The following is a 13,557-nucleotide window of genomic DNA, read 5'->3' as shown; positions in this document are numbered from 1 at the left end:
CGAGATTGTACCATTGCATTCCAGCCTGGGCAACAGAATAAGACTCTGTCTCAAAAAAAAAAAAGGCTCTATATAGGTTAAAATTTAAGTATTGGCTGGGCATGATGGTTCACACCTGTAATCTCAGCACTTTGGGAGGCCACGGTGGGAGGATCACTTGAGGCTAGAAGTTCAAGACTAGTGTGGGCAACATAGCAAGACCCTGTCTCTACAAAAATAAATAAAAATAACAAATTAAATATAAGTATTTAAAACAAAAATCTAAATTAGCAAATTTTAATGTTACATTTTAATTCTTTGGGAAGTGAAGATGCATATGTTGCATTTTTCCAGTTAAGGTACATGGACAGCAGAGAAGATGAACAGATCCGAGGGATCACTATGAAATCCAGTGCCATTTCCCTACATTATGCAACAGGTAAATCAGTCTGTGTTTTAACGAAACACAGCTTTGCATCTTTCATGTCCTCTTCTGTCTTTCTGAATTAATTGCATGCCTCAGTTTCTTTGCTTATATTCCACGTATTTTATTCTGGCCTCTCCACATGATCTGTTGTCAGAGTCAGGCTGTCCAGGCTTGGATGCAGATGGAAACCTCTGACTGGTTTGAGGGCAGAAGAACTGGCAATTCACACCTGCCCCCTCCACCAGGTGATTATATGGATTCCTTCACAAGGAAAGTCAGGAGCCCTAGGACTTTAGCTGGTTCAGCCTTACTATTCTGCCTCATGGCCTGGCCTGCATGTTAGATTTGGAGTAGATTAAAGGTAGACTGCCGTGATCAGTACCAGCTTGCTGTCCTCAAATGAGGATGCTACATTGATAGTAACACTTCTAGGAATTTATCTGACAGAAATAGTCATGTAAGTATATGAGATACATGTCACTGATATTCACTAAAAAGTTTGTATTCGTGAAAAAAATAACAACAACCTGAATGTCAATAGGAGAATGGTTCAATAAACTGATATATCCAAGCAGTGAAATACTGTGCAGCTGTTAAAACAAATGTTTAATATATATGTTATTGTACAGGGGAAAATGGTATGTTCAGAGACAGAAAACAAATTGCAGAGTATTTTTGTAAGATATGAATGTGTTTAGGTAATAAAAATATATTATATATGCAGATAAAGGTGTCTGGAAGGATACATACCAAACCCTTAACAGTAGCTCTCTGCAGGGGCTAGATTATGGAGAAACTTGCACTTTTCAAAATATTTATTTTTGTAGTATGTGAAAATTTTACACAAAATGTATATTTTTGTAATTAGAAGAAAATAATAAAGATAAATTTTATTTCCCTAATGGACTTACATGTGGTTCATCCTTCACAAGTGTCATATCTTTGACACTGCCACCAAAAGATGTACTGTGTGGGGCATGGCTGTTGTACCAAACCAGTTTTGAAGCTCTTAGGCACATGATTTCTCGATGTTTAATGTTTAACGCTTCATTTTTTTTTAAACCACTTCTCACATTTTAAAGGTTATATTCTCATCCTGTGATCCAGAGAATGAGGTTAAGGGTCTATTGATTTCTTATCTCGTTTTATAGACTTCAAGAGATTTGAAGGCTGCCTTCTTCCTTACTCAGATTATTAGTCTGTTTTTATTTGAAGATTCCTCTGGTGTCAGTTTTAGTTGTTCTGCTCTATACTTTGTCTCTAGTCCCCCTCCCTTGAGTCCTTTAACCACTTTATTAAGGTTTAATTTATATACCATAAAATTCACCTGTTCCAATTCACATTTATCTTTCTGGTGTAGTATTGTAGGAGAATTTGCTATAGGACCCTGGGAACTGAATGGTCTGAACTCTATTTTATCGAGCTCTGTGACCTTGACCTTGGCTGCTCACAGATCAGATTGTTTTAGGTACGCTTTCTTTTTTATTTTTTGAGACGGAGTCTTGCTCTGTCGCCCAGGCTGGAGTGCAGTGGCATGATCTCAGCTCACTGCAGCCTCTGCCTCCCGGATTCCAGCGATTCTCCTGCCTCAGCCTCCTGGGAAGCTGGGATTGCAGATGCATGCCACCGTGCCCGGCTAATTTTTGTATTTTTAGTAGAGGCGGGGTTTCACCATGTTGGCCAGGCTGGTCTTGAACTCCTGACCGCAGGTGATCCGCCCGCCTCGGTGTCCCAAAGTGCTGGGATTACAGTCGGGAGCCACCGCGCCCAGCCAGGTATGCTTTCTTGATTGCATAGACCAGAGACTTAAGCTAGCTTGGGTTGGGGTGGGATAGATTATTGAAAGCATATGTGTGAAATGATATTGGAAATAATATTCATGAAAACGGAAAAACAGGAGTCTTATTGGAGTGATGTCTCATAAAAATTGGAGCCAGATTTTTATTCTGGATCCAAGATAGCTCTAGAGACCGTATCAGTAAAAGTTTATGGATCCTTCCTCTGGAACTCCACTGTTGTCCTTGGATTTGGGTGTCTGTTTGTATTTCCACTATTATCCTGTATGTCTTTTCTCTGTCTCATAGCTTTTGCCTACTGTCATGTCTTCATCTTTGTACATTCACCTTGCCCTGACTTCTTACCCTATTATCCTGTCTGTTTTCACCTTATTTCTGTTGCCTACTGCTTCAATCTCTTGTGTTTCTGAGCACACAGGCTCAAGAGCAGGATGCGGCTCTGCTTATCTTTTCATGCCAGCCCATCACAGAGGTTGCACCTATGGATTGGCTGCGCTTGGGTTGGTTAGTCACCTCCTAATCCAATCAGTGGTGATCGGAGTGGAGTCACAAAGTGTCAAACATGTTTCTTGTGAGCATGGGATTACTGCCTAGAAGGGAATTTGGGCCGAGCAGTCATCACACTTGACAGTGCAGAGCCTTATGGGGATAGAAGTTAGGAATGTTGACTGGGACATATCCTCTCAGAGCACTTGAGAGATGAGATATGTTTTTATCTGTATCTTAGTACTGATTCTCCAGAATGGGGTATTTCCTGTTCTGAAGGTGGGACGTCTGAAGGGGAACCTAGATGGGAGAAAAAGAGGGAAACCTGATGATTGAAGAAACTCCACAGGTGACTTTTATTTATACCATGCCTTCCCCTCCTTCTCACCCACTTCGAATGCCCTCTTATTTGAGAATCTGTGTACTAAATGCAAGTTAAGCCCTTTCTGTGGTTCTGACTCTTAATTTACCGAGCTTTCAAAAGTATTTTCAAATATTTATTTGGGTTGAAATATAGGGTCTTATTCTAGTTTAAAGTAAACAGATAAATCCTGCACATTATAGAAGTGGTGTTGAAAACCATCAAGGTCATACACTATCTCAGCATTTTCCAGGAACCTAATTTTTCTTTGAGAAAATGGAACCTCTATTATCTTTACGTTTGTGACCAAAATTTGCTACAAATATTGGGATCATATTATTAAATCTTGTTATTTGCCTGTTTCTTACCTCTCTTTGTGTCCCACCCACAAGGATACCATACATTTATCTTGTCATCTCAAGAGTTAGGAAGTATTCCTAACAATATACGTTCTGTAAAATATCCTAAGGGGATGTAATGCCTTTGAATCCTTTAGCCTAGAATCCAGATACAGAAGAGAGAAATAGATTCACATGGGTTAAATAATTTGAAATTCATCAAAAGGAATACTGCAGTCGTTTCTACTGTATAGCCATTTTTTATATCTGAGCAAATATTGCTGTTGCTGAACTTTTGAAGTTTTTATCTAATTCATCTTTTAAAATATTTTAAATAAATTTACAAGTTTATATGCATACATACATATTAGGTATATTGCATATATAGTATATATGTATGTATATTTCAATGTATATATTTATTTATATATATATTTCAAATGTTTTGTAGCGATGGGATGTTGCTATGTTGCCCAGACTGGTCTCAACCTCGTGGATGCAAGCCTTCTACCTATTTCCTAAAGTTTTGGTATTACAGTTGTGAGCCACCACACCTGGCCCAAGTTTATATTTACTATAGAAAATTTAGTGTGTGTTATAGAATATACAGTAAAACACAAAAATGAAATAAAAATCACTCTCAGTTCATCACCAGTTATTTTATATTTTCAATTTTTATATTTAATGCAAGTTGTATGTGTATGCACACACTGTGAGGTAACTATCTAACTTTATTTCTCCCCCCAAATAGCTTACTTATTCTAACACCTGTCAGATGTGATTATTAAGTACAATATTATTAGTTCCTGACATGGTGTTGACACCTCTGCATAAGTGAGGCAGTTTGAGTGATTTTTTTTTTTTTTCAAGAAAAGTTGGCATCAGGATTTTCGGTAAAATCTTCCAAGTATCAAAATGCTGCCAACTTATTTAAAAATTGTAAAACACCATATGGAAAACACTGCAGTGGGCTTTAGCTTATGAGCTTTTAGTTAGTAACCTTAGGCATATAGTCTAGCTAATAGCCTGGTTCAGTGGTACACTTGGGATTCACCCAAGAGTCAGCCATATGCAGTGAGGTTGTCCTCCAAACAGGGAGACCAAGGATATAGCAGTCTTCTGCAAAGAGGTCCATATGCAAGTTGATCACTTTGTAAATACCTCTGTTAGGATAGGGTTAGTGGTTGTGGGCAGAAGGAGGATTTACGCATGTGTTGATTTCAGCTCTGTGGCTCTCTGGTTTTATACTCCGAAGACTAGGCCATGGAGACACTGACTCATGCCATCTAATTACAGACAAGGCCAGCATGTAGCAGAAAGTCATCTCTTATTCAGAGGCAGTAGCTTCCCTTTTCCTCTGGCTGTGTGAACGTTTACCCATGGTCCTAACTTGCCTTATTCTTTCCAGAATGAGGCTGGGAGGGAAGAGTTCCATTACCCCTCATTTGACTGAAGGGTAGATTTTGTTCTCGTCAGACAATGAATGCTTTACTTTGTGAAGTATTCAGTTGATGCCAGGCCTAAGAAACTAGGTACACGATAGTTCACTTCTGAGCTAGGTGTCTCATATGCCTGATTTTGTTTAATCTTCACAGCAACTCTGTGATGGGTATTACTCTGATTTTACACATGTGCAAAAATGGAGTTCAGAGAGGTGAAGACACTTTCCCAAGGACAGAGTAATTTCTAGCATGTGGTAGTAGTCCTAGAACCCACATTTCCAGCATATTCACTTGGACCATTAGTCTCTTGGAAGTCAGGCCACAACTAATTCCTCCTGAGGCTTGAGTTATCTCCTTTCCACTAGGGATTGTTATGCACGTCTTGTGGCCAACACTACCTACGTCCCTGTGGTCTTCAGTCACTGCCCACGATGCAAGCCACATGATCTGGCCTCTCTTATAGTCTCTTCCCCATGTTTCTCTGTGATTCTGACACCCTCTTTCAATTTCCCATTATTCCCTTCCTTACCAAAACTTACTGTGAAAACATTCCAAGAGAAACAAACATCGCTACATCCTCAATGTCTTTTTATTGACGTTTCCCCCTTCTGCCTGGCTGTCTTCTGATGACATTGCCTGCCTTGTACCTTTTCCAAGTGAATGCTACTCATTCATTCATGTTCCACGTATCTCTGGGTTAGCATATGGGATTGCCATTCTTTTTGTTCCCAGATCTGATTACAAAAGTTAATTCTTCTACCCTTGTTTTCAAACTTCTTCTTTCAAGACTCAGACCATCCAATTATTCACCTTTCCAGTCATTGTCAGCTCCTGGTGATGGTTCCTGTTCATTAGTGAATTTGGCACCCGGACTCATAATTGTTCTTTTTACCTGAATCTTCTAAGGTGGCTTTTCACCATCCCTGAGAATGACTTCTTCAACAGCTTATCCTCTCAACAACATTGATTCTGCGTTTCACCTACCTGTTGTCATGAATACTTTCTGGATTTTAGCATCACCTTGAGCTATCCATCTTCGACCTTTCAAACTTAAATACTTCCTTCTCTACAATCTTTGATTCTCCCAGCTCTTTCTTTCACCTGATTAATGAGGTACCCATTCTTTGACTTCATAATGTTCTCTAGTTTTTTTGACTCCCCACAGCCTCTTTCTTCATTCATTTCCTGCTTCATACAGCCCAGATTTGTCATTTCACTGACAGTCTTGCCAGCGTCTTCAGTCTCTTTGGTTCTTGACCTTCTGTCATATTTTTCCCAACAAAACTTTAACCCTTGATAAAGCTAATTCTCTACACGTCTTCATCCTTGCATTTGGGCTAGGTTCTCAAGTGGTCCTCCAGACTGCTGGCAGATTTCCCATCTCTCACTGTTAGGTCTTGCTCATTCTTCCCAATACCTATTTTAAACCTTCTGGTCTCTTTCAGCCTACCTGTCATCCCCTCCTCCACAATCTCAGCAGACATTCTTACCTTCTATTTCACAGAAAAGAGAAGAATTCTCACCTGCTTGCCACTGTATCTCAAAACGTAATGGTATGGGCATTTTTTGCTTGCCTCCTGTCACTGGCAAAAACCTGTGCTCTGGACTTAATGATCTTTTCTTCAGTATCTTCCACCTCTCCCTCTGTACTGGCTTGTATCCATCAGCTTTTAAGCATGCTCAAGTCTTTCTTGTCTTTCTTGTCTTAAAAAAATACATAAATCCTTCTTTCAGCCCCACATTCCTCTGCATTTTCCCTCTTCCCCCTTCTTAGTCAAAGTTATCCTACAATTACTCTCTCAATTACTCCGATAATGAGACTAGCACCTTACAGTAATGACATGCATTAGCAGTGTGAAATTGGTCCTTGATCTATGACCTTCTCTCCAGGGTGATGCTAAGCATAGAGAGATTATAAGAAGTAAACATCAACCTTTTTTTTACTCCAGGGTTTCTTATTCTGGTTCTTACACCCTTCCAAGCAAAACTGCCAATGATCAAAGGAATCAAGACAATGTGGATGTGTAATTATTAGATTTACTATCTACGCAGCAGGCCTTGAAAGGTGGAGAAGTTCTCAGTGATGTCAGAGTTCAGGGTGTGGCCACAGTACTGGGTGGCAGATGTGGACTGGCATCATACTGAGAAAAACCAAAAGCGGGTGAGGCCAAATGTAATCAGAAGTGGTCTGTACGTGGTCTAGTTTCATGTTGGAGGAAGGTCTGGAGAGGTCTTCGGGTCGGGTTTGTGCAGCAAAAGAAAACTTAATCAGTTTGCTATTCATAGTTGTTTCTAGATCATTTTTCCTCTCATTTTCCTAACCCCTGTCACTTTTTTTTTTTTTTTAAGACAAGAGTCTCATTCTATCACCCAGGCTGGAGTGCAGTGGTGATCATAGCTCACTGCAGCCCAGAACTCCTAGGCTCAAGCAGTCCTCCTGCCTCAGCCTCCCGAGTAGCTAATACTGCAGGCATGTGCCACCATGCCTGGCTAATTTTTTAAATTTTTTTGTAGAGATGATGGTCTTACCATGTTGTCCAGGCTGGTCTTGGCTCAAGTGATCTTCCTGTTTTGGCCTTCCAAAGCATTTGGATTATAGGTATGAGCCACTGTGCCTGACCCCATCTCAGTTTTGACACATACTATCAGAGTCAACCACCCTTCACCTCTCCTTGTGGCAGGCTTCTCATAAAGATAGTTACCCTGTTACCTGTGTCAGCTTTACAATTGTGCTTTACAGTTCTGTCAAATAATAAGTCGTATTAGTTGATTTATAACTTATAATGTTATACATTGATTTAAAATATAAAAGGATAATAGTGATTTAAGATATAAAAGGAAACCAGGTGCAGTGGCTCACATCTGTAATCCCAGCACTTTGGGAGACTGAGGCAGAAGGATCACTTAGGGACAGGAGTTTGAGACCTGCCACGGCAACACAGTGAAACCCCATCTCTACAAAAAATAAAAGTTACCCTTGTGTGCCTGCAGTCCCTGCTACTTGGGAGGCTGAGGCAGGAGGATCGCTTGAGCCCAGGAATTTGAGGCTGCAGTGAGCTATGATTGTGCCACTGCATCCAGCCTGAATGTTTCAGTGAGACCCTGTCTCTAAAAAAAACAAAAAACAAAAAAAAGTAGTATTTCCTGTGGAGGGAGACTTGTGGTTACTTTATATATAGTTGGGGTACAATTTTTGTATATAATTGTTAGAAGTTCATACATAAGGAATGTAGGAACATGTCTTCAGATAACTCAGGTTCTGCCTATATTTCTGTTATTTTTGTTGTCAGGCAAAATACTCTACCAATACACTGACACATAAAGGACACTTTCAGGAGGTTCAGATCTTCTTCCATAACTTCAGTTTTTCTTTTTTATTTTATGGAAAGTTTTCTCTCATCAGCTTTCTATGTATGCTTTAGTGAGCATTTCCAGTGTTTTGGAAGTTGAACACTAAACTCCTTACATGAAGTTTTACTGAATACAGAGATGTTTTGGCAGGTCCTAGTGACAAATGTGCACCTTCTGTGAGACAATTATCCATGGCACTTTAAAACCATGGGCAAGGGAGGAATTCTTTTCCCATAACTCCCTATTAGCAGCAGAAATTGTCTGGAAGATATCTCCCATAATTAACTTCAGTTCTTCCAACTTTTTTTTCAGCCCCCTGGAACATAAAAAGATTGGATTGTTGCTTGACTGATTAGATCTGTGCCTTGAAATGAAGCCGTTTAGTTTGGAATGCCTGGGAAGTAAAGCAGCAGAAGTTTCTGTCCCTGAATGCTATTGCAGGGATTAATTCAACATATAGCTTCAGGACTTTGTTACAAATCGGAAAGATCATTTAGCATGCTTAAAAAATTTTGTCTCTTGAAAAGTGTTATGCATTCTCTACTTTTTAAATAATTAATACTGGCAATAACAATAATATCTACCATGGTAAACCCCTATAACTGCGTTTATGTATTTTTTAATTTGATCACACACACGCAAAAGTGGTAAGTGGCATTTTTTAAAGAGACATAATGTGGCTGAAGTCACAGCAGAAGAGCTGTGCTTGGGGACGTTTTTTCTCTAATGGATATGGGACTTCTGTCCCCAACCTTTGAAATTTAGGTTAACGTTGTTTGGAAAGGGTTAAGATGAAAAAGGCATTGAAGGAGGAATTGGGAGGCCTGGCTCAGAGCTGAGCCAAGCCTTTGTCAGCTGTGTAACTGACCATGGCATTTCCTCCTTCTCACCATTAAATATATTTGAGAAACTCCAGGTTAAACAGAATTGGACAAACTTCTTTTACAGGGCTTCTCTGAACCTTTAATATGTATGTGTGATGTGAGCTCCAAGGCTGGCTGTTTATTTCTCAGCTATATTATTTGATCAGACACTTATTTTTTAGGATGTAGATTGTCGGGTGGAAACACTTGGTGTATCTCTAGCTTTCAGTTCCTCTCTAGATCTGAACCTGCCCTTCCTGAATGAATTTCAAAGAATCTGGAAATGGACGCGTACTTAGGGGAGCATAGATAAGTAGATAGGTATTCGTTTTTCTGACTATTCCCTAAAAGGTCTGTAACTCCAATAAAAGGTAAGAGCACTGTTGTATAGGAAGCCTGAAATGTCTGTACGAGTGCATTTTTAGACTCTGTAAAGAACTTGACTGGAGACCCAGTCTCTGAAACTTCAGTATCAGGTCCCGGTCGTATCACAAAGGATGGAAAAGTGCTTGAAGTTCTCCCACTCTAAAGTCTGGAGTTTAGCCAGATGAATAGGCAAGTGTTGTTTCCCCAGTTGCAAAGTATGAAGGAATCTAAGACCCGAGAAGTGACTAAGATGGTTCGATAGCCCTGGGTGTATTTCTGGCTTGCTTCTTTTGGGACCTTGGGTCAGTCTCTTACCTTTTGAGGGCGTTAGCATGTTTTTCTATGGAATAAAGGCTTAGGCTGAGAAAATGCTGAGTGATTCTAAGAATCTCACAGCTTTAATTTTGTATGATAGGACCCTAGACCACTACTAGACATGCTCCTTTTTCTCTGGTGTACTTGGTTGAGATCACGATACTTATCGAAAATGTTGACTAGGAGAACTGGTGTGAGATCTGACAGTGAAAGGCTCGATTGAGGTCCAGTGGGCCATTGCTCCAGGGCTCTGGTTATTTGACTTCTTGGATTTTCACTGGATATCTCCATGGTCTTCTCTGGTTGGAGCCTTCTCTGGTGGTTTCAGCAGAGCAATGGTTCCTCATAAAGCAGTTTGCATGAAAAGACCAGGAGGCAGCGGGGAGGAGTGGTACTGAAGAAGGCAGTCTGTTGCTAACTGATGGCAGTCTTTCCCACTGAGCCTCAGTACACTTGGGAATGCTTCACCCAGTGTTTTAGGAATTCATTAGCAGTGGAATCTTGGCATGTGAGGTGAAAGTTACTGCCTTCTGAGTGTAGTGGTTAGAGGTATGGTCTTTGGAGTTAAGTGGATTTGAACTTATGCTCTATCATTTTGAATTGTGTGATCTTAGTCAACCTCAGAATTGGATTCTAGCTGGATGTCCTTGAGAAAAATACTTAACTTTTCTGTGCCTTAGTTACCTGCTATATAAAATTGGGCTAATAGTTGTAACTACTACAGGGGATTGTTGTAAGTAAACATCAGATAATTTCTGTATTATGCTTAGAACAATGCCAGCCATGAATAGGCAGTCCACAGATGTTAAGCGCTGGTTGTGGTTATTGTTGTGGTGGTGTTTATCATCAGTATCACCTAGGGCACAAGCGAAGTCATTAAAATTATATTGGGGGAAAATCCTTTAAATGGCCCATAAATTGCAGGTTGAGCATCCCAAATCTGAAAATCCAAAATCTGAAATGCTCCAAAATTCAAAACTCTTCAAATACCAACATGGCACAAAAAGGAAATGCTCATTGGAGCATTTTGGATTTCAGATAAAGGATACTCAACCCTGTAGTCATTCTTGAGTGCATTCAAGTTGATAAACACTGAGTTAAGGGGAGGAGCAAAAGTAAAGTATATGTTTGAGCATTCTAATAGTTATTCTGCCTTTAAAAGAGAATTATATCAAATTTATCAATAATGGGGAATGAGTACAGAATTCTAAAGTATTAACTAATTTTCTGCATGGTATACTAAGTTATGTTTAGTGATAACTCTCTATAACCTAAGATGATCTTTTTTTTTCTTGTTTGCCTGGGACTAAGGGCTTTGATAGGATGTGGGAATTTCCGTGCTAAAACCAGACAACTCAGGATGTGTCATCACCCTACTATAAGTTTAATACATTTGTCTGTTGAGACTATTGAAGGAGATATTAATGGGAGAGCACATAGCACACTGCTTGGCACATAGTAACTGCTCCTTAAGTTTTTGTAGAATTGAGTCTAAATCTTGATTGAGCAGATTCATACACTGCTCTTTGACAAACTGTAGGGAAGAACTTGGCCAACTGCTTTGTTGGCCCTTTGAACAGCTCTTACTGTCAGGCCCTTAGGCATTGATTTCTTTCAGTTTCAATTTCCTAACCTGTAAAAGGAGAATAGTAATATGTATCTCATAGGGATATTGTAAGGATTCAATAATATGTGATTAGCACATTAAAAGTGAGTATCATAGTGGCTGGCTCCCAATAAGCTCTTAAGTGGTAACTATTAGAATAATAAAGTCCTTTAACATTTTATATAGATGCTATTTGGAATCAGTAGTCCCATCAGTGGGAAAAGTTGGAATGGTAGCTCTGGATTGAGCTTTCAACTCCTTTAGCTTTGTTCAGTTTTTTCTTAGAAGCTTTCAGCTTTCTTATTCTAGAACGCCTGAGGAAGAACATTGTGTACCTGGACAACTGAAAATGTGTGTTTACAAATTGTATTTTAGGTAATGAGGAGTACCTGATCAATCTGATAGACTCTCCAGGACACGTGGACTTTTCCTCAGAAGTATCAACCGCTGTTCGCATTTGTGATGGATGCATCATTGTGGTAGATGCTGTGGAAGGAGTCTGTCCACAGGTAATGGATTGTGATGAGAAAATACTTAAATGGTTAAGGGTGAGGAAAGAGGGGGAACTGACTGACTTTAGGCATTTCACTGACAATCACAACATTGGTTTTATATTTCACATTTGGTAACGTTCCAGTCTGTGAAGGAGTTAAATCACCAGAGTTCTGAAGGGATCTTAGAGATGATGACTTTAATTTAACATACTTTGTTTTTGTTTTTGTTTGTTTTGAGACAGAGTCTTGCTCTGTCACCCAGGCTTTAGTGCAGTGGCATGATCTTGGCTTACTGCAACCTCCGCCTCCTGGGTTCAAGTGATTTTCATGCTTCAACCTCCAGAGTAACTGGGATTACAGGCATGTGCCACCATGCCTGGCTAATTTCTGTACTTTTAATACAGACGGGATTTTGCCATGTTGGCCAGGCTAGTCTTGAATTCCTGGCCTCAAGCAGTCCACCTGCCTCAGCCTCCCAGAGTGCTGAGATACAGGTGTGACCCACCATGCCCGGCCTTATTTATCCTTCTTAACTGTCAGTTGCATAAAGGCAACAATGATTTCTTATGTGTAGTTCTTTGCTACTCCGCTGTATACATAGTTTGTGAATGCCTAATGAATACCTTTGTCTGACTGGCATAGTCTAGAGTGGTTATTAATCACGATTTTCTAATGTGCTCTAATTATTTCAAATCATGAGTTTTACATTTTTCTTTCTGTTTTTATCAGACACAGGCAGTTCTGCGACAAGCTTGGCTTGAAAACATCCGTCCGGTTTTAGTGATTAATAAGATTGATCGCTTGATAGTGGAACTGAAATTCACCCCACAAGAGGCCTATTCTCACCTCAAGAATATTTTAGAACAGGTATTTTAATTTTTAGTATTTAAAAAATTTAGCCACGAAGAAGAGTTGTAAGGAAGTTACTGAGCTGGGTATGAGCCGTTGCTACAGAAAAGGGAACTTTTCCACTTCAGATTCATACGTGTTGCTGTTATTCTACAAGAGAGGCAATAGAAAAAGCATGTTCTCAGTAGTCTTTTCCATCTCTTGGAATCACCCATCATATAAAGCTTGGACAATAGGCTCTCTTGTTTAAAACTGTATCTTGGTTCCAAAGTGAAGCCATATTAGGATTTTATTACCTGTCTGTAGTATTTTATTACCTGTCGTTACAGGAAATTTTACCCAAGCATTCATTCATTTATTTATTCAGCAAATATTTCATAGATATATGTTGAATAAATGAATTATCAAATGTCCATTGTGCACTAGGGATTGTGAATATAAGATGAACAGGTCAGAATCCCTATTTTCAAGGAGCTCACAGTATAGTAGGGGAGACAAAGAGATATTTGGAGAACAATGAGATAAGTCCTGGGTGTGATATAACAGCATAGATAAGGGCCATCTAACCCAGTCTGGGTCAAGAGGGAAGAATGAGTTAGAAGTCTTAAAATGGAAGCCTTGAGATGGAAGTAAAGTAGGTGTTTGCCAGGTAGACAGGAAAAGGACATTCAAAAGAGAAGGAATACGATGGGCAAAGTCATAAAGGCAAGAAAAAGCACAGTACAGTGTTTCATTTAAGGAACTGCAAATTGTTTTTTAGCTGAAGAATTAGATCGTTTGCAACAGTTACAAGAGATGGGAAAAAGGATATAGGATTTAGATGTCAGTGAACCTGATATGCCGTGCGTGAGAGTTTGAAATGTCTTCCTCAACACAGTGGAAAG

The 13,557-nt window shown here is 39.6% G+C and overlaps 1 protein-coding gene across 5 annotated transcripts in view; it reads left to right on the top strand.

The window, feature by feature from the left end:
• EFL1 (elongation factor like GTPase 1) overlaps window positions 1–13,557 on the top strand; it is a 132,502-nt gene that overhangs the window by 9,626 nt on the left and 109,319 nt on the right. For 3 of the 5 annotated variants that reach the window (NR_136410.2, NM_024580.6, NM_001322845.2), the window contains exons 4-6: window positions 334–418; window positions 11,706–11,839; window positions 12,554–12,691. Coding sequence is in view for 3 of the 5 variants with exons in the window: in NM_024580.6 (NP_078856.4) it covers window positions 334–418; window positions 11,706–11,839; window positions 12,554–12,691 (357 nt within the window). In the remaining 2 variants the exon portion in view is untranslated. The remainder of the gene's footprint in view (window positions 1–333; window positions 419–11,705; window positions 11,840–12,553; window positions 12,692–13,557) is intronic. The other 2 variants (NM_001040610.3, NM_001322844.2) reach the window with 1 other exon arrangement.

This window comes from Homo sapiens, chromosome 15 (assembly GCF_000001405.40).
Source record: "Homo sapiens chromosome 15, GRCh38.p14 Primary Assembly".
Classification (NCBI taxonomy): Eukaryota; Metazoa; Chordata; class Mammalia; order Primates; family Hominidae; genus Homo; species Homo sapiens.
The sequence above is the reverse complement of the archived record's forward strand: the minus strand, read 5'-3'. Positions and strand labels throughout refer to the sequence as shown.